General features: G+C 49.1%; 2 pseudogenes, besides 3 other annotated features; both read right to left on the bottom strand.

Annotated features, from left to right (window-relative positions):
- Nucleotides 13,780-14,364: an enhancer, noted in NCBI's record as "H3K4me1 hESC enhancer chr11:67477612-67478196 (GRCh37/hg19 assembly coordinates)". NCBI's record gives its function as "activates a minimal SCP1, AML or CMV promoter by ChIP-STARR-seq in naive H9 embryonic stem cells {active_cell/tissue: H9 hESC(naive)}" and the evidence as "EXISTENCE:reporter gene assay evidence [ECO:0000049][PMID:30033119]".
- Nucleotides 14,365-14,948: an enhancer, noted in NCBI's record as "H3K4me1 hESC enhancer chr11:67478197-67478780 (GRCh37/hg19 assembly coordinates)". NCBI's record gives its function as "activates a minimal SCP1, AML or CMV promoter by ChIP-STARR-seq in naive H9 embryonic stem cells {active_cell/tissue: H9 hESC(naive)}" and the evidence as "EXISTENCE:reporter gene assay evidence [ECO:0000049][PMID:30033119]".
- Nucleotides 14,892-19,645, bottom strand: UNC93B5 (unc-93 homolog B5 (pseudogene); annotated as a pseudogene).
- Nucleotides 21,551-22,082: an enhancer, noted in NCBI's record as "NANOG hESC enhancer chr11:67485383-67485914 (GRCh37/hg19 assembly coordinates)". NCBI's record gives its function as "activates a minimal SCP1, AML or CMV promoter by ChIP-STARR-seq in naive H9 embryonic stem cells {active_cell/tissue: H9 hESC(naive)}" and the evidence as "EXISTENCE:reporter gene assay evidence [ECO:0000049][PMID:30033119]".
- Nucleotides 26,098-27,123, bottom strand: OR7E145P (olfactory receptor family 7 subfamily E member 145 pseudogene; annotated as a pseudogene).

Here is a 27,356-nt window from a genome sequence, read left to right on the forward strand (position 1 = left end):
TGGCAGCAACCCACCTGCAATACAAAAATCCAGACAAGTTATCTGCTGCAGTATAACAAATTACCCCAAAACTGAGAGGCTTAAAACAGTTCTCAGTTATGATTCCACGGCTTCTCCAGGTCAGGAATCTGGCTGCAGCTTAGCTGGGCCCTCTGGCTCACAGTCCCTCCCAGGCTGCAACCCAGGCATCGTACTTGATGTGGGAATTGCTGTGGACCAGTGCCTGCTTCAGGCTTCCCACCAACCCCTTCCTGGCTTTGAACAGAAATAGCCACAGCAGGCATCTTAGGTGTCATAGACAGAGAGACTCTATTTTTGTTGTTTGATCACCGACAGCTTCTATGTCCCCATCCCTCCACTTTGCCCCATATCTGGGTGGCCCAATCAGAGAGCCCAAGGGTGCCCTCTGTCTCTTGGCATGAGTGGGAATTTCAAACCACATCAGCCCCAGGCTGCACCTGGGCACCTCCACCCGGGTCATCCTTCTGCACGGCAGAAACCTGAGGCCACTTCTTCCCTCCCCACACAGCTTATTCTGCTCCAGACCAACCTTGAGCCCTCCTGTGGGAGGAAGGGCTGTTTCTCCTCTTGCTGTTTATTATGTGAGTGATAAATTTGATGTCATGTCCATTGGTGCCAATGTCTTTCATCCCAGTATCCACAAATCCCTGGGTGGGGGCCGCCCAGTGTCCGGCAGGGATGCCAGGCACCCAAATCACACAATTTATGCTGGGAACCGGAGGGCTGGATGCCGATCCTACATAGCATGTGTTTCTTCTCTCACTCTTGGCTTACTCACCAGGTCCATACCACAGGTAGTGGGCTCAGACTGGCCTGGACCGTCTTGGCCGATTGCTGGCACGCCTGTGCTCTGGGCCACATCACTTTAGGGTGGTTCTCCTGGGATTTTCCAAGCATCTGCTTTAAAAGTAGCAGCTTAAGCCAGAGGTAATGATGGGGAAAGGGGGCTGAGGAGCCAGACATAAAGTGAATCCTGACCCCAGACTGGACCCTAGTAGTTGGTAGCATCATTCATTGGAGGGAATGGTTATATGTCTCAGCCAGAAGCTGGCCCCACATTTCCCAAACGCTGCACGTAAAAAGGCAAGAACTCCCCGCGGGGGCCACTGTTTGAACAAGAATTTATGTGGTGTTCAGAGCCCCAGGATTCCCATGGCAGAGGTTCCTCAGGGCTCGGCAAGCAGGTACATTACTGCTGCTGTCCTCACTGCCGTGACATGGTCATGCACACTGAGACTCCCTGGAGAAAAAAATTAAATAAACCCCCCCCCTAAAATATCCCTAATTACAAAAGGTGAAGATAAAATGACTCAGGTCAAGGAAAAAAATTGTCCTAACTGTCATCCAAAAGACCACCAGGACGGCTACACAGTCGAAAGAGGAGCTTTACTGGCAAACTGGGAGGAGAGACTCATCTCAAACAAACAAAAAAGGAAATGTAATTGCCATTGTAACAATGTCGTGGAGGGGACCCTCCATAGGCGATTAGGTCATGAAGGCTCTGCCCCCATGAATTAATTAATCCTGTTATGGCAGGAGTAGGTTAGTGATCACGAGACTGGGTGTGTTATAAAAGTGAGGTCGGCCTGATTTCCTCCCTGTCTCACATGCTTGCTTCTGCCTTACACCCTTCTGCCACAAGATGACCCTTGCCCAAAGCCAGCACCATGCTCTTGGACTTCCCAGCCTCCAAAACTGGGAGAAATAAATTTCTTTTATCAGTTGTCCAATTTGTGGTGTTAATTTGCAGACTAAGACAGGCTTTCTAATAACGTTTGTTGGGGCTACTTGGATTTTTGAGGCAACATATTCCCACTTACACATTTCATGAAAACCTCTTTATTCAATTTCTCCTAAGTCTGCTCATTATAAACAGCCACTTCACACAAGCCCTCCAGGCTGTGTAGGGAACGGCTCCACCATGGCACCCTGGTGGCCCTGAACATATCCACACAGGCTACAGAGGCGAAAGCTCAAACTGAGGCTCATCTGAGTCATGACAGGACACTTTGTGATCCTCCAGAGAGTGGGAGGCCTGTAGGAGCTGCTACCACTCCCGTTGGCTCCCTGTCTCCCCCAGGAGGCTGTCATGAGAAGGTTCTGCATGGCCTTCGGGTTCTGATGAGGCCTGCCACTGTCTGTCCTGCCCTCTTCTGAACAGAGTTGCTGTTGCAGGAAATCAGGGACCCTGAACGGAGTGACCAGCTGGAGCCGTGCCATAGGAACATAAATTGTGAAGATTTCATTTTAATATGGACATTTATCAGTTCCCAAATAATACTTTTATAATTTCTTATGCCTGTCTTTACTTTAATCTCTTAATCCTGTTATCTTCATAAGCTAGGATGTACATCACCTCAGGACCACTGTGATAATTGTGTTAACTGTACAAATTGATTGTAAAACATGTGTGTTTGAACAATATGAAATCAGTGCACCTTGAAAAAGAACAGAATAACAGTGATTTTTAGGGAACAAGGGAAGACAACCATAAGGTCTGACTGCCTGTGGGGTCAGGCAAAAAGAGCCATATTTTCTTCTTGCAGAGAGCCTATAAACGGACATGCAAGTAGGAAACATATTGCTAAATTCTTTTCCTAGCAAGGAATATTAAGATTAATATCCTGGGAAAGGAATGCATTCCTTGGGGGAGGTCTATAATAACCGCTCTGGGAATGTCTGTCTTGTGCAGTTGAGATAAGGACTGAGATATGCTCTGGTCTCCTGCAGTACCCTCAGGCTTACCAGGGTGGGGAAAAACTCTGCCCTGGTAAATTTGTGGTCAGACTGGTTCTCTGCTCTTGAACCCTCTTTTCTGTTGTTTAAGATGTCTATCAAGACAATATATGCACTGCTGAACATAGACCCTTATCAGTAGTTCTGCTTTTGCCCTTTGCCTTGTGATCTTTGTTAGACCCTTATTAGTGGTTCTGCTTTTTGCCCTTTGAAGCATGTGATCTTTGTACTTACTCCCTGTTCTCACACCCCCTCCCCTTTTGAAACCCTTAAGAAAAACTTGCTGGTTTTGAGGATCAGGCAGGCCTCATGGTCCTACTGATATGTGATGTCACCCCGGCAGCCTAGCTGTAAAATTCCTCTCTTTATACTGTCTCTCTATTTCTCAGCCAGCCGACACTTATGGAAAATAGAAAGAACCTACATTGAAATATTGGGGGTGGGTTCCCCCAATATCTGGCACACCAACGTGGTTTTCTTTTTCCTAAGTGCATGTGGGAACCCGATTCCCTTTGGTAGGTATGTAGAAACGTTCATCGGTCCGGTCCACAGAAACCCTTGTTCGGCTCCCTGACAACTGGTGAGTTGTCTGTGTATTGTCCGGGGTAACTATGAGTCATGCAGAATCTAAACATTATGCTTATCTCTGCTATATTAAACTCCTGTTAAAACAGGGAGGAGTTTGGGTACCCATGGAAAATATGGTCACCCATTTCAGGGCGGTGGAAGAACACTGTCCTTGGTTTCCTCAAAAGGGAACGTTAGATGTGGAACTTTGGGATTGTGTTGGTGCAAAATTCCGGGAACCGGTCCCAACAGGAAATTATGCTCCCGTCACTGTTTGGGGTGATTGGGCCTTGGTACGTGCCATCCTAATGACATACCAATCCTGTGACCCCCTGCAGTTACCACAGTTTTCTGAATCTGGAGACCCTCTACCTCTTCCTCAGCTTTCCTCTCCCACTCGGCCTTTGTTATCTGCTCAGCTTCTCCCTTCACCTACTCCTCCCCAACCTGAGAATGTTGAGGATTCAATATCTAACTCCGGTGACTTTGGCTTAATGTCACCCCCTGATGATTTTATTTCTTTTCACGAATTGCTGGTACTTGTAGCTCCCGCGGCCCCGACTTGGACAGCCCGAGACCATATCTATGCTATCTTCCCTCTTCAAACCTTTGCAGCCTTTGCCTCCGGAGCCATCTAATGGCTCTGGGACCAAACTACAATTTATCTGTAATTCTGCAGACCCTCCCCCGTCCACCACAGCCCCTCACCCTCCTGTCATTTCGGTCCCTCAACCGGTCACTTTGCCATCCACTCAAACTGCTTCTCTGTACCCTTCTTCAAGCATGGACACCCCTGCCACTCTGGTTGCACAGGATTGGGCAATAATCACCAGCTTCTGCCCCTTCTGCTCCCCCAATGCCCCTTTCTCGTGCTCTCATACTGGCCCGACCTCCTCAACCTCAGTTTCCCTTATCTACACATACTTTTCCTGTCACTTCTATGCTGACTCCGTCTCATGTGCCTGTTCTTGAAACTTCCATGCAACACTTATTATGCCAGAACAAAGAAACAAGTGGATTAGAGGCGTGGGCTTATCCGGTCGCGCTGGAACCTGCCAATGCTCAAGGGGTACAAGTGCGTCAATATGCGCTGCTCAATCTTACCTTTTTAAAAAAATTCAAGGATGCTTGTACTCAGTATGATCCTGCTTCTCCTTATGTTAAAAGGTATTACAGACTCTTTGTACTGAGGTCATTTTGCTTCCTTTAGACTGGGACCTTTTGGCAAAAGCTGTTCTAACTCCATCTCAGCATTAAAATTCTGTACTTGGTGGTCAGAGGAGGCCCATCTGCAGGCTCAGCTAAATCAGGCTGATGGCATTCCAATTACTCAGGCTCAGCTCACAGGCTCCAATAATTACTCTGACAATACCACCCAATTAGGCTTTGATGCTGTCACCACGGATCAAGTAACAAAGGTGTGTGTAAGAGCTTGGGATAAATTACACACTCCTGCCAAGCTCCTGTTTCTTTTACTACTGTTAAACAGGGTCACAATAAATTATATCCTAATTTTTTGGCTAAATTACAAGATGCTGTTGAAAAATCTGTAATTGGACAAGCTCGGTGTCAAATACTTAAAATTTCTGGATTTGATCCAAATTTAACTATGGTTCCTTTAAATCAGCTCGAAGTTCAAGCCGCTTTTCAACATTGCATACTGTGGCAAATTCACTTGGCTGATTTTATCGGTGTTATTGATGATCATTATCCAAAAAACAAATTGTTTGATTTTATAAAAATGACTTCTTGGGTGGTCCCTCGATTGACCAAAGATCAGCCCATTCCTGAGGCCGTTACAGTGTTCACTGATGGCTCCAGTAACAGAAATGCTGGTTATGTGAGTCCTACAGACAAGCTTATTTCTACCCCTTATACCACTGATCAAAAGGCAGAGTTAATTCTGAAATTATTGCCTTACAAGATCTCCCCAAAACGTTATTGTCTCTGATTCTGTTTATGTTGTACATGCCACAAAAAATATAGAAATCGCTACTATCGAACATAACGATAATTCTGAATTGTCTCCTTTATTTTCAAGGTTACAACAGGTGGTTCGCCAACATAGACACCCTTTCTATATTAACACATATTAGATCTCATGCCACTTTACCAGGACCCATGTCTGCTGGTAACCAGAAGGTCGACTGTTTGGTCTCTTTTGCAATCCATGAGGCTCAGGAGTTCCATAATCTCACTCAGGTCAATGCTGCTGGATTAAAAGATAAATTTGTTCTCACCTGGAAGGAGGTTAAGCTTATTGTCCATGGCTGCCCTCAGTGCCAAGTTTTTGTACTTCCAAATCAGGAACCTGACGTTAATCCCAGAGGCCTAACTCCTAATGATTCACGGCAAATGGATGTGACTCATGTTAGCTCCTTTGGCAGACTTTCATATGTACATGTTTCTGTAGACACCTTCTCAGGTTTTATTTGGGCTATTTGCCAAACAGGGGAAGGCAGAGCCTATGTTAAAAGACATCTGGGCCGGGCGTGGTGGCTCACACCTGTAATCCTAGCACTTTGGGAGGCCGAGGCAGGTGGATCACGAGGTCAGGAGATCAAGATCATCCTGGCTAACACAGTGAAACCCCGTCTCTACTAAAAACACAAAAAATTAGCCGGATGTGGTGGCGGGTGCCTGTAGTCCCAGCTACTTGGGAGGCTGAGGAAGGAGAATGGCGTGAACCCGGGAGGCGGAGCTTGCAGTGAGCCGAGATGGTGCCACTGCACTCCAGCCTGGGCAACAGAGCATGACTTCGTCTCAAAAAAAAAAAAAAAAAAGAAGACATCTGTATTCTTGCTTTGCAGTTATGGGGCTTCCATATCAGATAAAGACAGACAACACCCCTGGATATGTTAGTAAGGCTTTTGATTTATTTGTGCAACAATGGGGAATTTCCAATATTACTGGAATCCCTTACAATCCTCATGGACAGGCTGTGGTGGAACGGGTCAATCACACTTTAAAAACTCAATTGTCCAAACAGTCTGAGCAACAAAAGCATAATTTAACCACTCCCACTCCCAATTACATTTAGCATTGTTTACTTTAAACTTTCTAAATGTTCCTAAAGACAATACTCTGACTGCAGCTGAATGGAGGCAAAAAATTCTCCCTAAATGAAGGCAAGCCAGTGTTATGGAAAAACTCCCAGACCAATACCTGGGAACCTGGAACAATTATAACATGGGGAAGAGAGTATGTTTGTGTTTCACAAGGAGATCATCAATCCCCTGTCTGGGTTCCCACTAGGAGACTTAAATTTCGTGTGAATACTGACAATGAAAACCACAGGGAAAAGACGTCCGCGTCAGAGGCCGCCCTCATACCTGGTGAAATCTGTGCTGATTCCTCAAAAACTGGCACACCAAATCAAAAAGGGTCTGGGTCAATCCTCCCTAATGACAACATAAACCCCTCTAACTAATTCCACTTCTCCTAATTACCTTTCTTTTTCTCCTTACAAACCTAAAAATCTCACCATTTCTATTAGCCTGAAAATAACATCCCTCTGTTCTTCTCTTCCTCCTTCAGTACCGGATCTTGCTTACAATAGGTTTTATTTAATAATTTTTCTACTTATACTTTCTGTCTCACCAGTTTTTCCTCAAACTGATTTACCTGCTACACAAAATTATTCTTATTGGGCTTATATGCCTTTTCCTCCACTTATTCGACCTCTCACCTGGATGGATGCTCCTGTGGAAATCTACACTAATGATAGTGTGTGGAGGCGTGGAGCTACAGATAACCATTGGCCCGCTCAACCAGGAGAAGAAGCCACTGCATTTAATGTTACTATGGGTTATAAATTCCTTCCTCTGTGCCTCGGACATGCACCAGGTTGTATCCATCTAGAAACTCAAGTCTGGGCTGCTTATCTTCTGGAGAGATTAGCCACAGGGGAACAGGGACATTTGGTCTCCGGCCCCTCCCTTTCTCCTTTAAGACAAATGAAAAGGGGAGTAATAGGAGATACCCCATACTTTCAATATAAACCTGTAGGAAAACTATGCCCTAAAAATTTTGAGGGTCCATCTAAAACTTTAATTTGGGAATATTGGGTTAATTCACATGCAGTAGTATTAAAAAATGACTCATATGGTTTAGTAATAGACTGGGCACCAAAGGGCTATTTAAAAAACAATTGCTCCTCTGGCGGAAGGGAATGCCTGGAGGCTGTTTATTTTATTTCTTGTTGGGAGGATGAGGATCATCATCCTACTTTGCATAGGAGGTTCAGCTCGTTCTTTCCCTTAAAATGGGAAGATAAGGGCTTTACACCCCCCACCCCCGAGGCCTTGTATGATACTCCCCATTCTAAGCCCAGAACACCCAGAACTTTGGAAATTGGCTATTGCCATGTCCGGACTGTGGGTATGGGAAGGGGAAACTTTTCTGTCTGTTGTCCCCACTACCGCCCCCTGCATCCGTGATTCTGAACCCCATGATAAATCCCCTTTGAACCTTTTCCTCTTTTTGATGCCGATCCTCCTTTATGGGACTGCGATTGGCATTATGATAATTCTTCTCGACCCCGGTATGCCCCTCTACCTCTTCGGCATCCCCAGGCATCTCGGATTGCTTCTGTACGATGGAGAACATTGGGTTTTGCCACCGCCGCTCCTCTCCCTCAGTATCAACATAGATTCAAACATTCCGCTTTGTTTACCTCCAGCCTGACTATTCCTATACAGAGTTGTCTTAAGCCTCCTTACATGCTATTAGTGGGAAATATCAAAATTTGGACGAAAAATCAAACTGTCCAATGCATTAACTGTCATTTATACACTTGTGTTAACTCCCGTTTTGACTCCAGGAAAAGTGTAATGTTGGTTCGAGCTCGAGAAGGAATCTGGATACTGGTAACTTTACGCAGACCTTGGGAATCCTCCCCCTCTGTACATTTAATTAATGAAGTGTTACAACGAATTCTCAAAAGATCTAAGAAATTTGTTTTCATTTTAATCACTGGATCATGGACCTAATTACAGTCACTGCACTGGCCACCACTGCTGGAGTGGCATCACACCAATCTATTCAAACGGCTCATTTTGTTAATGATTGGCAAGCCAATTCTACCCAAATGTGGAATTCTCAACAGGGCAGTTATCAAAAATTAGCTAATCAAATTAATGATTTAAGACAGTCTGTTATTTGGCTTGGAGATCGGCTAAAAGTCTTGAATATTGCATGCACATGCAGTGCGACTGGAATACTTCTGATTTCTGTATCACACCATATTCCTACAATGAGACTGATCATTCATGGGAAATGATCAAAGGACACCTAGGTAGGGAAGATAATTTATCCTTGGACATAATTAAAGAAACAAATTTTTGAAGCCTCTCAAGCTCATTTATCCATTGTGCCTGGAGCTGAGGTGTTAGATCAAGTGGCAGAAAGTCTTTCTGGACTAAACCCCATGACTTGGATTAAGTCTATTGGGGGCTCCACTGTAGTGAATTTTGGAATCATGTTTCTCTGTTTAATTGGCTTGTTTTTAGTGTGCCAGACCAGTCAAAAAATCCTGCATCAAAACCGAGAGAACGAACAAGCCTTCACCACCATGGCACATTTATATAAAAAGAAAGGGAGAGATGTTGAGGGAAGTCAGGGACTCCGAATGGAGGGACCAGCTGGAGCCATGCCAGAAGAACATAAATTGTGAAGATTTCATTTTAATATAGACATTTATCAGTTCACAAATAATACTTTTATAACACACCAGCATCAGTTACCAAATGCTGCAGCCAAGCTGTCGCTGGGCAGCAGTCACCTCAAGGCTGGCCTGGATGCTGCCTGCTTCCAAGTTCATGCCCTGGTTGCTGACAAGATTCAGTTTCTCCTGGCTTGTTAGAATATGGACCTCAGTTCCTCCCAGGCTGTTGTCCAGAGGCTGCTTTCAGTTCCTTTAAAGGTAGGCCTCAAAAAGAACACCAGAAAGTGTGACCAAGACAGAATCCGTCTTCATAACCTGCCTTCCGAAGGGACAGCCTGTTACTTTTTGCCATTGTATTAGTTTTCTTTTTCTTTTTACTTTTTTTTTTTTTTTGAGACGGAATTTCACTCTTGTCACCCAGGCTGGAGTGCAAAGGTACAATCTCTGCTCACTGCAACTTCTGCCTCCCGGGTTCAAGTGATTCTCATGCCTCAGCTCCCTGAGTAGCTGGGATTACAGGCTCCTGCCACCACGCCTGGCTAATTTTTGTATTTTTAGTAGAGACGGTGTTTCACTATGTTGGCCAGGCTGGTCTCGAACTCCTCACCTCAGGTGATCCACCCACCTCAGCCTCCCAAAGTGCTGGGATTACAGGTGTGAGCCACCGTGCCCGGCCTCTTTTTCTTTTTAAATTGAGACAGGGTCTTGCCCCATCACTCAGGCTGGAGTGCAGTGGTGCAATCACAGCTCACTGTAGCCTCAACCTCCCTGGCTCAAGTGATCCTCCCCACCTCAGCCTCCCTCAGAACTGGGACTACAAGACATGCACCACCACACCCAGCTAATTTTTACTTTTATTTTTGTAGAGACGGGTCTCCGTAGGTTGCCCACACTGATCTCAAACTCCTGGGCTCAAGCAATCCTCCTGCCTTGGCATCCCAAAGTTCTGGGATTACAGGTGTGAGCCACCAATCCCGGCCTTGTATCAGTTCTTTATTGCTCTGTAACAGATTACCATAAATTCCAAAGCTCTAAGCAACACCCATGCACTGTCGCACTGTGGATGTGGGTGATGTGGGTGAGGAGTCTGGCATGGTGCAGCCGGGGACTCTGCCCAGGGCCTCACAAGGCTGCAATCAAGGTGTGGGCCAGCCACGTTCTCAGCTGGGATTTGGTGTCCTCTTCACACCCCTTCTGGTTGTTGCCGGACTTCAGTTCCCTACGTTGGGGCACTGAGGTCCCTGTTTTCTTGCAAGCTGCCATCAGGGACCACTCTCGGCTTCCAGGGGCCCCCTTGTAGGTGGCACCATGGCCACTTGCCCTACTCCAAGCCTGCAGAAGAGCGCCTCTCTGCCATGTCCCTTTCTTTTAAAAGACTTGCCTGACTGGTTCAGGTCCATTAGGTAGCGTCCCATTTGATTAGCTCAAAAGTACTGTAGCCCATCACATTCACTCACAGGAGGGCATTAGCGGGGTGTGGACACCAGGGAGTGAGACTCTCTCAGGCCAGTTTAGCATTCATTTGGTTAGCCAGGTTTGGTGGCTCATGCCTGTAATCCCAGCACTTTGGGAGGCTGAGGCGGGCAGATCACCTGAGGCCAGGAGTTCGAGACCAGCCTGGCCAACATGGTGAAACCCAGTCTCTACTAAAAATACAAAAATTAGCCAGGCGTGGTGGTAGGTACCTTTAATCTCAGCTACTTGGAAGCCTGAGGCAGGAGAATCGCTTGAACCTGGGAGGTGGAGGTTGCAGTGAGCCGAGATCGTGCCTTTGCACTCCAGCCTGGGCGATACAGCGAGTCTCAAAAATAAATAAATGCGAAGGCTGCTGAGCGCAGTGGCTCATGCTTATAATCCTGGCACTTTGGGAGGCCGAGGTAGGAAGACTGCTTGAGGCCAGGAGTTTCAGCCTAGCATGGACAACACAGTGCCACTCTATCTCTAAGTAAAATAAAATAAAATAAAATAAAATAAAATAAAATAAAATAAGTAAAATAAGAATTCAGTTGGTTAAAAGAAACTCACTAGGTCCAGCCCACAATCAAGGGATGGAAATTACACAAAGTTGTGAAGAGTCAAGGGTGGGAGATCGCTGGCAGCCCCTTATAGAAGCTGCCTATCTCACATACCTGTTGGACAGCTTCTCTCTCCTAGCTGGGGGTATTTGGAGCGGGTGTCAAATCCTGCTCTTTTTTATGTCTGTTGCCTTTTCTCGCGGTGATGTGTTTCCTGTGTGTTCTGTAATTTTGGATCGTGAGCTGAGCTTCAGAGGGGCTTTATGTGGGGAATCCTGGGTGGCCAGGTTTGAGGGAGCCACCTAGAGAGGTTTTCTATTTGGCTTTTCCAGGGGCCCCAGGGTACCACTAAGCCAAGGCAACTTTTTTTTTTGAGACGGAGTTTCACTCTTGTTGCCCAGGCTGGAGTGCAGTGGTGCAATCTCAGCTCACTGCAACCTCTGCCTCCCAGGTTCAAGCTATTCTCCTGCCTCAGCCTCCTGAGTAGCTGGGATTACAGGCACACGAGGCTTGGCTAATTTTTTGTATTTTTAGTAGAGACGGGGTTTCACCATGTTGGCCAGGCTGGTCTCGAACTCCTGACCTCAGGTGATTCACCTGCCTCAGCCTCCTGAAGTGCTGGGATTACAGGCGTGAGCCACCATGCCCGGCCCAAAGCAACTTTTTAGTGTTAATTTCTCAACTCTGGCATTCCTAGACCACACAGGTGGCATGACTTTATTGTAGGAGTTCCACATTTATATAAGAGAGGCCTGAAAACACAACGATCTCATGGGAAAGTTGTTCACCACCTAAAGCTCAAAATTTCTCACCTCTCTCTGTTCCCCTGGGTGGAAATGTTTCTGTCCCTTTCTCTAAAGGTGTTGCATTTCTGTGACCCCAACTTCATCATGCTTGACTGTAACCCTGACCCCCTGCCTTGTAAGGGCTTCCAACGCTCAACCCAGCCCTGCCCTCAGGCAGTTGCAGCACCAGCTCCTCTGTCCCCACCTTGGTTCTCACTCCCCTCTTCACTTCTGGCCTTAGGGGACTTAACTTATTTTCTGAAGAACTCAGCTATATATTTATTTTATTTTATTTTATTTATATATTTTTTGAGATGGAGTTTCACTCTTTTGCCCAGGCTGGAGTGCAGTGGCGTGATCTTGGCTCACTGCAACTTCTGCCTTCCGGGTTCAAGTGATTCTCCTGCTTCAGCCTCCTAAGTAGCTGAGATTACAAGCACCTGCCACTACTCCTGGCTGATTTTTGTATTTTTAGTAGAGATCGGGTTTCACCATTGGCCAGGCTGGTCTTGAACTCCTGGCCTCAGGTGATCCGCCCACCTCAGCCTCCCAAAGTGCTGGAATTATAGGCATGAGCCACCACGCCCGGCCTCAGCTCTATAGTTAAAAGGACATTTGTTTCTTACCCAGCATTTCTAGGTGTTTTGAAGAGGGAGACTTCTCAGGTTATCTAACCTGCTACTGAGAACTTAAAGATAGGGAAAATCTTGGACTGGAGATTCTTGGAATCACATAATTGAAAAATCCCAGCCAGGCATGATGGCTCACATCTGTAATCCCAGCACTTTGGGATGCCGAGGCAGGTGGATCACCTGAGGTCAGGAGTTTGAGACCAGCTTGGCCAACATGGTGAAACTTCGTCTCTATTAAAAATACAAAAAAATTAGCCTGGCATGGTGTTGGACACCTGTAATCCCCGCTACTCGGGAGGCTGAGGTAGGAGAATCGCTTGAACCCAGGAGATGGAGGTTGCAGTGAGCTGAGATCACGCCATCGCACTCCAGCTTGGGCAACAAGAGTGAAACTCCGTTGCAAAAAAAAAAAAAAAAAAAGAAAAGAAAAGAAAAGAAAAAGAAAAATCCCCACAGTGCACATGGACAAAATCACAGAGTTGCTTTGGGAGCGAGGGTGGCAATCAGACACGGAGGCCATGACACAACCTGCTCGTCCACTCAGGGGTCCAGAACCTCCACCCAGTCACCTTATCCGGGGGTGATGGAGACAAGGGAGGTGCCACCTACGCCAGTGTCATCTCTTACAATGAGCTCTTCTCCTGCTCGAAAAGAGCCAGCCTGCTGAGCTTGCTGCCAGGGCCCGTCGCACTGCCTGCGCTGTGTTGCCCGTCGCACAGCCTGTGATATGTGTTTCCCGTCACACGGCCTGTGATATATGTTTCCCATCATGTGTGCATGTGTGTTGTCATGTAGTGTCTGTCACAGGTGTTACCCGTCATGTGTGTTTGCATGTTGCATGTGTGTGGCCTATCAGGTGTAAATATGTGTTGTCTGGCACATGTCAGCATCTGGGCATTCTCCGTGTGCCAGGAGCAGCCAGGTGGCCTGTGAAGCCTTCTCATGGGAAATGCCCAGATAGGAAGAGCACAGCCAGGAGCCAAGCCCCTGAGTGGCCACTCCATGTGCCTGGATCACCTTCAAGTCTGCTCAACACCAGAGCCTCTGTTCCTTGGCACCATGGACATTGGAATTGACTCGGAACTGGGAAGAGCTGTAGACCCACTATCCAGGCACCCGCTCTCCGTTTGCCCAGCATCCCAGGGGCCCACACCCTTCCAAATATCATCTTGCCCTCCATTCAGAGGTGAATCATCCGAGCGTCAGGTTGCCCAACTCCGACTGGTTTTGCTGGAGCCTCCATGGAGGATGTCACCAGACACCTCCAGAGAACACTCAGTCTACAGATGCCGAGGGGGAACTGGAAGCACACAGTGCTGGCCTTCACCCAGGTTATGGTGGCACCTTGGGACCGCTTCTGAGTCTGCTTGTCACTGAAGGTCGGCGTGAGGCAGGCAGCGTTCCCTCCCAGATTTAGAAAATGTCAAGTCTCCCGCCGCACCCTTTTGTGTTTCTTACAGGGCCTGGGGAGCTTGCTGCCGCCACACTAAGGGCTCCAACATGTTCCCTCACACACTCAACAGAGAAGGAAACTGTGGCTCAGATGGCAGACTCCCTGTCCAAGGCCACAGAGTCTGGCCCCAGGGACCACTAGAGGCTTCAAGAACCAAACTCACATGAGGGCAGAGAGGAGAGATGGGGCCAGTTTAGGGCTGGGAGAATCCATAGAGCGATGCTGAGGCAGGCATGGAGCCTGGAGGTACGGACGAGGGTCTCGCCAAACTCAGGGGTAAAGAGGCTGTGGGGAGTGAGGAATGGTGTGGGCCAGCCCCGGGCCTGCTGGCGTGCAGCTGGGGGCTCCATGGCCCTCCCACGGCCCCCACTTGTCCTCACCCAACCGTTCAGAGCTCTTCATGGCGGGGGTGTCCCTCTCCTCTGGCCACAAGAGGAGCGGGTGGAGGAACGGCACCTTCAGGCCTTGTAGGGGGTCTGCCCCTCCACCAGCCTGTTTCTCGTGGGCATCGCAGCTGAGGCTGTAGCCGGGAAAGGGTAGTCACCGAGCGTACCTGGCCTCCAACCACCACTTCCAAGGCCCCTACTGGGCACAGGGTGACCCCACCGTGGCTCGGAAGTAGACCCTGTCCGACGCGGGGATGGTCGCTGGAGGGCCGAGGATGCCTACACAGGCCCCTGGAGGGTGTGCCTCGGGAGTCTGTCTCGCCCTCTGGACCCATGGGGGACCAGCAACGCCGTCACACCCTCCTCTGTCTCTGCCAGCCGCTCCGCCGCTCCCTTCTCCTGGCTGGGGCTGGCAAAGGCAGGCAGGTATGGGGGGCGGGGCCTCAGGAGGGAGGAAGGGCTGGTGGGCGGGGCCTACGGACACCTCGCCCCGCCCCCAGTAGGGCGCCGCACTCCCCACACCCTGCGGTCCCCCTAGGTCAGGGCCTGTCACCACCGCGCCCAGAGGCCGGGCCAGCCGGGCGTGCATCCCAGGGGCGCTCCGTCCCCCGCGGCCTGGGACTCCCCAGTAAGGACAGTACAAAATCTCTTTATTGCTCATTTTCTGTAAAAAAATCGTGGCTCTCGGCGGACCCTGGGGATAGGAGGTGCAAAGCGCGGTCACACGCGGCCCGGGTCCGCGGCCGACAGCTGGGAGGATCTGGAGCGGGGCCGGGTCGCAAGAAGACCCTGACCCTGCTCCCGCGCTGGGGCGCGTGCTAAGGGCCCGCAGGGTTTCAGCTGTATTTTCGAACCCCTGTGCTTGGCCGAGGGGTTCCCAAGGCTCCACTCCGCCTTGGAGGGGGCTGCGGAAGCCCGGAGGTGACCCGGGCTCTGGGAGGGGCGTCCCCAATGTGGGGGAGGGGAGACAGGGGCCTTTGAATACAGCGCGGGACTCAGAGGGGGTCCCCCCGACCTAAGACGTGGTAAACTGAGGCCGGCGAGGAGGGAGGCTGAGTCCGGGGACCAGGCGGCCCCTCACTGCTCCTCCGGTCCGTCTCCCCTCTGCGCCTGTTCGTACGGGCAGGGCCGGCGGCCGAGTCCAGCGGGCTCGGGGCCAGGCCTGGGCCCCGCGGGCGGCGCCTCCTCCTCCGCGCCGTCCCCATGCTCGTCCTCAGCGTCGCTCTCCTCCGAGTTGTCCTCCAAGTAGCGGTAACCGCGCACCTTGTGCTGGGGCCGCGGGATGCGGGGCTGAGGCGGGGCCACGCCCCGCCGCAGCTTCTGCTCCATCCGCAGGTAGGAGACCGCGGCCGCCACCAGCGTCACCAGCAGCATCGCCAGCTTAGCCTGGGCGTAAGGAGAGGGATGCCAGGGACCCGCGGCCGCCTCGCTTCGCACCTTCCCCGCCTATGCCCCTCGCTGAGATAGGCCCTTCCCTCCTCCGGGAGCCTCCCGGGCCACGCGGCCCTCAACTTCTCCAGCCCCTCCACCCACGCTTCCTGGACCGCCTCTTGCAGGTGAGGCTCACATCCAGCACTGTCCCTTACAGTCGCCACGCCCCTGGCGACCTCAGTGTCCCACACTGTAAGGGGACAATGCAAATCCCTTTGCCTCATAGGGTGCATGCGCCAGTGTTGATAAAGTGCTGGCCACAGGCCCTGCCTTCCCAGGGCTCACAACACTGTGTCCCTGACACACCCGTGGGCTGTAGTGATGCTCTTCATGGGGTTTTGACTATAACCCGCAGTCAGGAATGATTTCACACCATAGCCCAGTACATACACACATATCTGTATGCATACTTCCTGCTCTTTTCTTTTTTCCAGACACGGTCGCTCCGTTTCCCCACAGCCCCCCCACCCACTGCTGGAGTGCAGTGGCACGCTCACTTCAGCCTCAATCTTCCAGGCTCAAGCCATCCTCCCACCTCAGTCTCCCAAGCAGCTGGAACTACAGGCACGCGCCACCACGCCCAGCTAATTTTTAAATTTTTTGTAGAGACAGGGTCTCCTATGTTGCCCAGGCTGGTCTTGAACTCCTGGCCTCAAGCAATCCTCCTGCCTCAGCCTCCCAAAGTGTTGGGATTATAGGCGCGAGCCACCATGCCCAACCCACTCACTGCTTTTCTTTTTTCTTTTTTTTTTTTGGGAGACAGAATCTCGCTCTGTCCTCCAGGCTGAAGTGCGGTGGCGCGATCTTGGCTCACTGCAACCTCCATCTCCCAGGTTCAAGCCATTCTTGTGCCTCAGCCTCCAGAGTAGCTGGGATCACAGGGACGTGCCACCATGCCCAGCTAATTTTTGTGTTTTTAGTAGAGACAGGGTTTCACAGCCTGTTACCCAGGCCGGTCTCGAACTCCAGATCACAGGTAATACCCCAACCTCAGCGTCTCAAAATGCTGGGATTACAGGCATGAGCCACTGCTCCCGGCCCACTCCCTGCTATTTTTAGTTCTATTTTTATTTTTATTTATTTATTTATTTTTGAGACGGTGTTTCGCTCTTGTTGCTTAGGCTGGATGGAGTGTCAAGGCCCCGTCTCGGCTAACTGCAACCTCCGCCTCCCAGTTCAAGTGATTCTCCTGCCTCAGCCTCCCGAGTAGCTGTGATTACAGGCACCTGCCATCATGCCCGGCTGATTTTTATATTTTTAGTAGAGACGAGGTTTCACCATGTCGGTCAGGCTGGTCTCAAACTCCCTACCTCAGGGAATCCACTCGCCTCGGCCCCCCAAAGTGATGGGATTACAGGCGTGAGCCACCGCGCCCGGCCTTTAGTTCTATTTTTTAAAAATATTTAGCAACTGGGACTTGCTAGACCGAGCCACCATCTTTTGTGAGCAGAGCATGAGGAGCCTGCTCCCCTTCAGGCCATGAAGGGAGACAGACCCAACATCTGGAGAACAGGGTACCAAACAGCCCACAGGATGGCTGTGATGCATCCACAAATCCCCTCAGAGATGGGCAAACTGAGACTGGCTGGAGGTGGGCCAGTAAGTGGGGTGCTGAGTTGGGGGCCACCCAGTGGGCTCCAGGAATGGGGCCTTGGCCCAGAGACTGGCTTGAGAAGGGGTGGTGTTTAGGAGGCTGTGAAGCCAGGGCAGGAGCTAAGGAAGTACCTGTCATTGGGCATGGGACCCCCAACCCTGCCCAGTCTCACCTTCATGTGCAGGCTCGAGCCCAGGTACACGGTGAAGATGGCCACAGCCTGCCACCAGTGGTAGATGGTGAAGATGAAGTCCTGTCTCTCCTTGTCTTCGTACAAGATTCCCAGGAGTGCTGCAGGCAGGCAGTACAGGGCAGGCAGGGGAGAGGTGTCACCTGGGGCCTGGGGCTGCCTAGCTACCATCTATGAACTTTACTAAGCCCTGTATGTGTCCCAGCCCGGGACCAGAGAACGCCTAGAAAGTGCTGTGAGGCGGTCCTGGCCTGCCCCCTGGTGGAGACCCTGGTCACCACACTGCTCACACGCTAAGCAGAAGTAGGAGCAGGTGCGCCGGGCTGTGTGGATGCAGGTGGTCCCGCTCCGCACCACATGCGTGGCCTCAAAAGAAGAAAGCTCTGTGCTTAGTCATGTCCTGTCCCCAACCCCAGGTGTGCAGTGCCAAGCTTGCAGGCGCTGTTTCTCCTTCTCAGCCGGGACTAGAGGGATCGAACTGTTTGCAGCTGCCAACTCTGCAAATCAAACCTGAAGCTAAGCATGGAGAGGGGGGCTTCCTTTCCAGTGAGTCCTCCCAGGGTGGACAACAAGAGTAATGGATTGGGAGTCAGAAGATGCACACTCGTTCTCAGGACTGTAATGTTGGCTCTGTGGGTGATTTGGGTACTTAACTCCCCAGAGCTGCTTTTCCCAATGGTGAGATGAGCTTATGCCTATTGTGTGCTGTGTTCTGAAGTTCTAAAGTGAGAAAGAGGGCATGGCACCTGCCAAATCATAGGGGCCACTATTAACACCTTCACCAGGCACTCAGGACATGAACACTCCTGTCTTGGGGCCCTGCAGGGTGACTTTACCCCCACAGTGCTGCTATGAAGAGACAAGGATCCCCCGGGGTTCACCAGCTGGGCAGAGGAGATGCCATGACCAGACAGGGCACAACATGGGTTCAAGATGCCCAGGTTGGACTCTGCCCAGAATTGGCTATCCTTGAGCAAAACGGCCAAGAGACTGTGGTGCAGTATGAGGCTCCAGCCCCTGCTACAGACAGAGACACCGAGCCAGCCTCTGCCCTGCCAGCAGCAGGCATGACCTCGGCCACTCCACACCCCCAAGGATGACGTTCAAAACTGTTCACAGCTTCGGCCCATCAGAACAGACACTGACATGGATGCCCGGCAGGACTGCCCATGTGTGCTAGCTGTGTGTCACTGTGTGTGCCCATCTGTGGTCAGGGAGCATCCTGGAGCTGAACATGGGCCCACCCGCTGCCTTCTGCAAACAGGGCCCTGTTCCCCAGCAGCCCAGACCTGGGGCCTGGACTCTGGTACTGAGCAGACTGGGCTGGGGCTGCAGGCCTGCTCCTCTCTATACAAAGGCCCATGTCTGTATCTATGCCGTGGATGTACAACAGGCCACTTGCTCCTACCATATGCTCCGTGAGGCAGAGACCAAAATATCTGCTCCAAATGTCACGAAAACAATGCCAGGGTAAGCCCTGTCCCCTGGTATGAAAAGGGAGAATCCCTGATGTGTTTTTCACACTGTCCCTAAGGGGTGTCCACAGAGCCCCACACCTGCCCCGTGTAGCCACGAGATTTCACACTGACCCTCCAGTGTTGATGCGGCCCTGTGCCCGCCCTGGGGTATTAACGGAATGTCCATGGCGTGGAACCCCCACAACTGTCTCCAGGGTGTCCACACCCTACCCATCTGTCCCCAGTGTGTCCATGAGACTTTCCTCCCACCCCCGGAGTGTCCACAGGAAGCCCCACCTGCCTCTGCCATGTCCACAGGACCCTATGTGACCATGGGACCCCATATCTGTCTCTGGGATGTCTATGCCTAGCCAACCACCCACAGATAGCCATAAAGCCCCCTGCCCCGCCCCCTCCAGTGCCCACAGCTATACTCACTGCTGAGTCCAGTATTGTTCAGGGCGCTGCCCACACCCCAAAGGGCAGCTGCCACACAGAGGATCCAGATGTGTTGCAGGACCCGAGGCACAGGGGCCCAGAAAAAGAGGATGAAGGTGAGGAGCAGGTGCACCCCTGCTCCAGCCATGAGGGGCACCGGGCGTGGCAGCCACAGGCCCAGCAGGCCCAGGAGTGAGGCGGCTGAGGTGCCCAGGCTGTAAGCCACGAGGAGGTAAGCCAGCCGCTCCAGCCCCACCAAGCACACGCCATAGCCCTGCGGGGGGACAAGGGGTGAGTGTTGAAGTCCGGAACAGCCCAGACCCCAGTCTCAGCCCTCCCCGCATTGCGGGGGGTGCCTCACCCCCCTGCGATAGGTGCCCTAAGAGCCAGGGGAGGAGAAGGGCTGACTCGTACTCCCCGCATCGCGGGGGGTGCCTCACCCCCCTGCGATGGGGGTCCTAAGAGCCAGGGGGGGAAGAGGGGCTGGCTCTTACTATTCCTGAGGGAATAGTTTAGAGGGACTCATTCCCTGCTATGGTGGGTGAGATGTCTATGAAAAGGACAACCAGTGGGGGAGGGTAGCAAAATTTTGAAGTAGATTTCTGAGACCCCCCAGCACAACCAGGAACAGAAACTCCACACTCTGCTGAGCGGATAGTTTGCACATTGGTCTCCTCCCATCTGCCCAGCGCACTCTCCTGTTTGTCCTGAAGAGGAGGAAACCAAACAAGGCTCCCGACCGTCCCTCAGCACTCACTTGAAGGGGTGGTCCGTCCCTCCACACCTGTGGGTATTTCTAGTTGGGTGGGAAGAGACTGAGAAAAGAAATAAGACACAGAGACAAAGTATGGAGAAACAACAGTGAGCCCAGGGGACCGGCGCTCAGCATACCAAGGACCTGCACTGGCACAGGCCTCTGAGTTCCCTCAGTTTTTATTGATGATTATTTTTATTATTTTAGCAAAAAGGAATGTAGTAGGAGGGCAGGGTGATAATAAGGAGAAGGTCAGCAACGAAGATGTGAGCAATAGAATCTATGTCATAATGAAGTTCACGGGAAGGTACTATGACTGGACGTGTGCGTAAGCCAGATTGATGTTTCTCTCCACCCAAACATCTCAGTGAAGTAAAGAATAACAAGGCAGCATTGCTGCAAACATGTCTCGCCTCCCACCATAGGGCGGTTTTTCCCCCATCTCAGAATTGAGCAAATGTACAATCGGGTTTTATACCGAGACATTCAGTTCCCAGGGGCAGGCAGGAGACAGCGGCCTTCCTCTCTCTCAACTGCAAGAGGATTTCCTCTTTGACTAATCCACCTCAGCACAGACCCTTTACTGGTGTCAGGCTCGTGGACGGTCAGGTCTTTCTCCTCCCACGAGGCCACTTTTCAGACTAACTATGGGGAGAAACCTTGGACAATACGCCGCTTTCAAGGGCAGGGCTCCCTGCGGCTTTCCACAGTGTATTGTGCCCCTGGTTTATTGAGACTAGAGAATGGCAATGACTTTTACCAAGTATACTGCTTGGAAACATCTTGTTAACAAGGCACGTCCTGCACAGCCCTAGATCCCTTAAACCTTGATTTCATACAACACATGTTTTTGTGAGCTTCAGGTTGGGTCGAAGTGGCTGGGGCAAAGCTACACATTAACAACATCTCAGCAAAGAAATTGTTGAAAGTACAGGTCTTTCTCAAAATGGAGTCTCTTATGTCTTTCCTTTCTACATAGACACAGTAAGAGTCTGATCTCTCTTTCTTTTCCCTACACTCACTGAACTGCCCTTCCCCTCTGCTGGGCCATGACCACGGAGAACAGGTCCAGTGTCCTCCTTCTGTGGTGCACCATGGAGGCTCAGACTCCATCCTCAAGGCTGGCAAGAAGACAGGGTGAGATGTGAGCCTCCTGATACAGGTGACGGAAGTGGAGCCCACAGGACTGGAACCTCACACTGTAGGGCTGGAGGCACAGACTGACTATTTACTATTCTGTGGCCTGGGGGGCTCAAGGCACAGAGCTCCTTATTAGACAAAGTCACCCAAGTTCCCCAACCTCTAAGGATTTCCTCATAATAATGCAAGAAGAAGAGAAAAGTGAGTGTCCATAGAAGCTTTGGGGCTCTTCCTCTAATCAGGAGAAAGCTGGTGTGTATTCTTTGCTTCTTTCTTTTCTTTTTAAACATCCAACTGCTTTAATTTTCATCTTTTATTAAGGGAAAATATACCACGCATAAATATTTAAAATTATAAATATATATTAGTTCATATAGAATGGCCGGTATAAACATTTATAATTTCCATGCTTTTTCAGTTTACAGTTTCATGACATTAAGTACGTTCACATTGTTTACCAACCATCACTGCCATCGTCTCCAACACAGTTTTATCTTTCAAAATGTAAATTGCACCCATTCACCAAGCTCTCCACTCCTCTCTCTCGCCCACCCCTGGAGGCCACCTTTCTAGTTTGCAACTCTATGAATTTAACTACTCTAGACACTTGATAGATAAGTGGAATCAAACTGTGTTTTATTGTTTTGGAAACAGAGTCTTTTTCTGTCACCCCGGCTGGAGTGCAGTGGCGTGATGTCGCCTCACTGCAACCTCCACATCGTGGGTTCAAGCGATTCTTGTGTCTCAGTCTCTGGAGTAGCTGGGATTACAGGCGTGCGCCACCACGCCCAGCTAATTTTTGTATTTTTAATAGGGACCATATTGGCCAGGCTGGTCTCGAACTCCTGACCTTAAGTGATCCACCTGGCTCAGCCTCCCAAAGTGCTGGGGTTACAGGTGTGAGCCACTGAGCCTGGGCGTGTTTATCCTTTTGGGATTTATTTATTTCACTGACGATAATGTTTTCAAGGTTCATCCATGTTGCGGCCTGCCTCAGAAGTGCGTCTCTGTTTTTTGTTTTTTTTGTTTGTTTGTTCGTTTGACTTTGTTTTGTTTTGTGTTTCCATGGAGTCTCACTCTGTCGCACAGGCTGGAGTGCAGTGGCACAATCTGGGCTCACTGCAACCTCCGCCTCCCTGGTTCCAACCATTCATGTTCCTCAGCCTCCCGAGTAGTTGGGACTACAGGCACATGCCACCACGCTCGTCTCATTTTTTGCATTTTCAGTAGAGACAGGGTTTCACCAAGATGGCCAGGCTGGTCTTGAATTCCTGACCTCAGGTGATCTGCCCACCTCGGTCTTCCAAGACGCTGCGATTACAGGTGTGAGCCACCGCACCTGCCAGAAGTGCCTGCCTTCTGGAAGACTATTAAGGCTGAATAGTCTTCCATTGTATGAAGGAACTGCAGTGTGCTTTTTCATTCATCTGTCCACGAACCCTTGGGTTGCTTCCACATTTTGGCTGTTGTGAATACTGCTGCTATGAATATGGGTGTACACAAATCTGTCTTCCACTCCTGGCTTCTAATTCTTTTTGGTAGCTACCCACAAATGCAACTGTGGGAACATCTGATCATTCTGTTTCTAATTTTTCCAGTAGACGCCATACTATTTTCCCCGTTCCTTCACGGTTTTACATTCCCTCCGATCATATTCGAGCATTCCTACTTCCCTCTAGTCTCACCAATGCTTGTTTGTTTATCATATCCATCCTAATGTGTGGTATCACATTCTTGGTTTGATTTGCACTTCCCTATGATGAGTGATTTTGAACATCATTTTCGATGCTTATTGGCCATTGCTATATCTTCTTTAGGAACACGTCTACTCGAGTCTTCTGACCATTGTTGATGGGATGCTTTGGGTTTCTTGTTGTTTAGTTCTAGCTGTTCTTTATATATGATGGATATCAGCCTCTTTTCAGATATATGCTTTGCAAATATTTTTCCTAATCCATGGGTTATCTTTTCACTCAGTTCACAGTGTTTTTTGCTGCACAAAAGTGTCTGTCATTTAGATGTCATCCAAGGAATCTAATTTTCTTTTGTTGCCTATGCTTTTGGTGTCATATCCCAGAGAACATTGCCCAATCTGATGTCATGAAAGCGTGACCAATGTTTTCTTTTAGGTGTATGATACTTTTAGTGCTTGGGGTGAGGTCTTTGATCCAGTTTGTGTTAATTTTTGCACCTGGTGTGACATAGGGTCCACCTTCATTCTTCTGCATGTGGAAATCAAGTTTCTCCAACACCATTTCTTGAAAAGGCTTCTTTTCCACCAATGAGCTTTCTTAGCACTCATGTGAAAAATCATTTGAACATATAGGTGAGAAGTTTTTTCTGGGCTCCAAAACAAACAAACGACAACAGACAACAGATAAGGATACAGCATGGGCCGGGCGCTGTCACTCACACCTGTAATCCCAGCACTTTGGGAGGCCAAGGCGGGCAGATCACCTGAGGTCAGGAGTTGAAGACCAGCCTGACCGACAGGGAGAAACCCCCATCTCTACTAGAAATACAACATTAGCTGGGCGTGCTGGCACATGCCTGTAATCCCAGCTACTCAGGAGATGGAGGCAGGAGAATCGTTTGAACCCAGGAGGCAGAGGTTGCGGTGAGCCAAGATTGCACCATGACACTCTAGCCTGGGCAACAAGAGTGAAACTCCATCTCAAAACAAACAAACAAAAAAACCCAGCATAATTTCAAGAGCAGAAAGAGAAGAGCTTAAAAACCAGTACAATGAGAAAGTTAGGAAGTTTCTTACCAAAGCATCTGGAAATATGCAAGCAATTCTTGTGAACTAAAATTTTCATACTGTACTATCAAACACTAGAACACACTTATTCCATCTTTCTGTATTTTGGGACCCAATTATCCACTTGTCTTCATTCCCTATCCCACCCCTTTTCTTCCTAGTGTCTGCTAACCACCTTTATACTTTCCACCTTCTTGAGATTCCTTTTGTGTGTAGGTGTGTGATGGAGTCTCTTACTGTTGCCCAGGTTGGAGTACGCAGACACAATCCGGGCTCACTGCAAGCTCCGCCTCCCGAGTTCAAGCGCTTCTTGGGCCTCAGCCCTCTGAGTAGCTGAGACTACAGGCACGCGTCACCACGCCCGGCTCATTGTTTGTGTTTTCCGTAGAGACGGGGTTTCACCATGTTGGCCAGGTGGATCTCGAACTCCTGGACTCAAGTGATCCGTGCGACTTGGCCTCCCAGAGTGCTGGGATTACAGGCCTGAGCCACCGCACCTGGCCAAGGTTTCCTTTTTTCTTCCTACATAGAAGTGAGGACATGAAATATTTGTCATTCTGTGCCTGGCTTCTTTCATTTAATATACAGACCTGCAATCTCATCCATTTTGTCTGCAGCGGAGAGGAGTTTCTTCCTTTTTTGGATGAATAATACTTCACTGGGTGTGTATACCACAGTTTCTTCATTGAAACAAATTTCTGAAGAGCAAATATTTTTAAAATGTCTCGGGATGTGAAACTTCAGGGATACTGTGCCCATTTTATTCTTTACTATTTCCCATCTTATGTATATGCAAGTGTATAACAAAGCAGCAATCAATGTGTGTATAAATCTATAACTTCAACAGATGTAAAATGTAAATGCTAAGTGGTGGCTGGGTGCGGTCGCTCATGCCTGTAATCCCAGCACTTTGGGGGGCGGAAGTGGGCGGATCACCTGAGGTCGGGAGTTCAAGACCAGCCTGACCAAAATGGAGAAACACTGTCCCTATTAACAATACAAAAAAAAAAAAAAAAATTAGCCAGGCATGGTAGCGCATGCCTGTAATCCCAGGTACTTGGAAGGCTGAGACAGGAGAATTGCTTGAATACGGGAGGGAGAGGTTGCAGTGAGCCGAGACCATGCCATTGAACTCCAGCCTGGGCAACAAGAGTGAAACTCTGACTCAAACAAAAAGGAAAAGAAAGAAATAGAAAATGCGAAATGGTAAGAAAAAACAGCATAATAAACATTTGTATGGTGTTGATGGACAATGCATTTGAAGATAATATTTGAAGATATTATATTACAATAAATTTCTGTTCTTACTCATTGGAGCTTGATGCCCCTAAAAACTTCGTCATTGGAACCACCTCTGGTGCTTTAAAAGAAAAAAAAAAAAAAAATCCACATACTCACACAGGTGCAAGGAAATCAGAATCTCAGGTATTGAGACCCAGGCCTCATCATTTGTAAGCTCCCCAGGTGATTTGACTCAAAGCCAAGATTGAGGAACGGCGACATGGATCTCTCTACATAACCTGCCTAAATAGATTCTCTAGAAGCAGTTTATAAAGAAATTCCGCAAGAACTGCGGAAGAGGATATGAATTTGATGTACGGTATGTCCTCACTTAACATCTTTGAAAGTCTCTTGGAAACTTCACCTTGAAGCAAAATTATGTATAGTGAAACCACTTATTTTTCATCAACAGTATAACTACACAACTTTGAACAACCAATGGTGTTGGAGGACCTCCTGTACATTGTTTCCATAAAGTCAGTTTTCAGGGAATTCCAAAACGAAGTGAGGACTTCATGTATATAAAAAGATGGTTGTGATTCCACCTGGATGACAGGGTTATTGCTCAGAAACTAAAAGAGGCCGCCTAGGTATAGAGGATTCAGTCATGAGGTTTCTGCTAAACAAAGGGTCCCAGAATCCTCACCCATTCCAGTGAAAGGCATAACAAAGAAAGCAATATTCACAAAGGAAATGCGGAAAGGAATAAAAGCCATCAAGCCACAAAAATAATGTGACTAAGGGGCAGGATTTGCAGATGTAGAGATTTAATGTGGTTGCCCTTTCTCACCCACACAAGAAAAAGGATGGAACAGATCATGAGATTTGACTGCTCTGCTGTGCAGCCTCCGCAGGGCACTTTGTATGTCCCTGTTTCTCAGGCTGTAGATGAAAAGGTTCAGCATGGGGGTGACCACAGCGTACATCACTGACACCATCACACCATTCCTGGGGGGTGCTGACACAGCTGAAGTCAGGTACACACCAATGCCTGTTCCATAAAATCAGCAAACAGCTGCTAGGTGAGAGCCACAGGTGAAGAAGGCTTTATACTTCCCATCTGATGATGAAATCCTTAGAATGGAGGGGATGATTTTATAGTAAGACAAAAGGATCCCTGGAATGGGAAGAAAACCAAACATAGTACTATCGAAATATATGAATATGCTATTGATGACGCTGTCAGAACAGGCAAGTTTGAGAAGTTGAGAGGGGTCACAGACAAAATTAGAGATTTCCACATTCTTGATGATGGTGAATTGTAACACAATCCAACTGTGCAGCTGGGAATCCAACAAGCTAAGGAAAAAGGACACCAAAAAGAAGAAGACACAGAGCTGAGGATTCACAATGACTGGGTAGTGCAGAGGACGACAGATGGCTACAAAGTAGTCATAGGCCATCACAGTCAGGAGCATGCCTTCTATACATGCAAAAAGGACCAAGAAAGATATCTGCGTCAGGCAGCCCGCATGAGAGATGACTCTGCTATGTGACTGCATGTCCACAATCATCTTGGGAACCGTGGCCGAGGTGAAACCGATGTCAGCCCAGCACAGCTTGGAGAGGAAGAAGTACATGGGGGTGTGGAGGGGGGAGTCAGAGCTGACAGCCAGGATGCTGAGCAGGTTCCTCAGCACCGTGACCAGATACATGGACAGGGACAGGGACAGCAAAGTGAGGATAAGCTGCAGTTCTGGGTCCTCTGAGAGTCCCAGGAGGAGGAATTCTCGGACACCTGTGAGATTCCGTGGCCCTGTGTGTCTTGGACACCTTGAGAAGGAAAGAGGATTGGAAAAATAACAGATAAAAACCAGCCCTTAATGCTGGATGCAAGCAATTCACAAGGAACATCTTCACACTTGCGGACATACACCGCTAGCAATGTTTCTCAGTTGTGACAATTCCAAAAATCTCAGAATTATTATGTGATTTACTTTTTTGCTATACAAAGCTTTCTGTACATACTACTTTAGAGAAAATCCACTGAAGAATATTAGAAGACCAAAACATCATATATAACAAATCAGTGATCTCAGTAAAATACGGC

Source organism: Homo sapiens, chromosome 11, assembly GCF_000001405.40.
Source record: "Homo sapiens chromosome 11, GRCh38.p14 Primary Assembly".
Taxonomy (NCBI): Eukaryota; Metazoa; Chordata; class Mammalia; order Primates; family Hominidae; genus Homo; species Homo sapiens.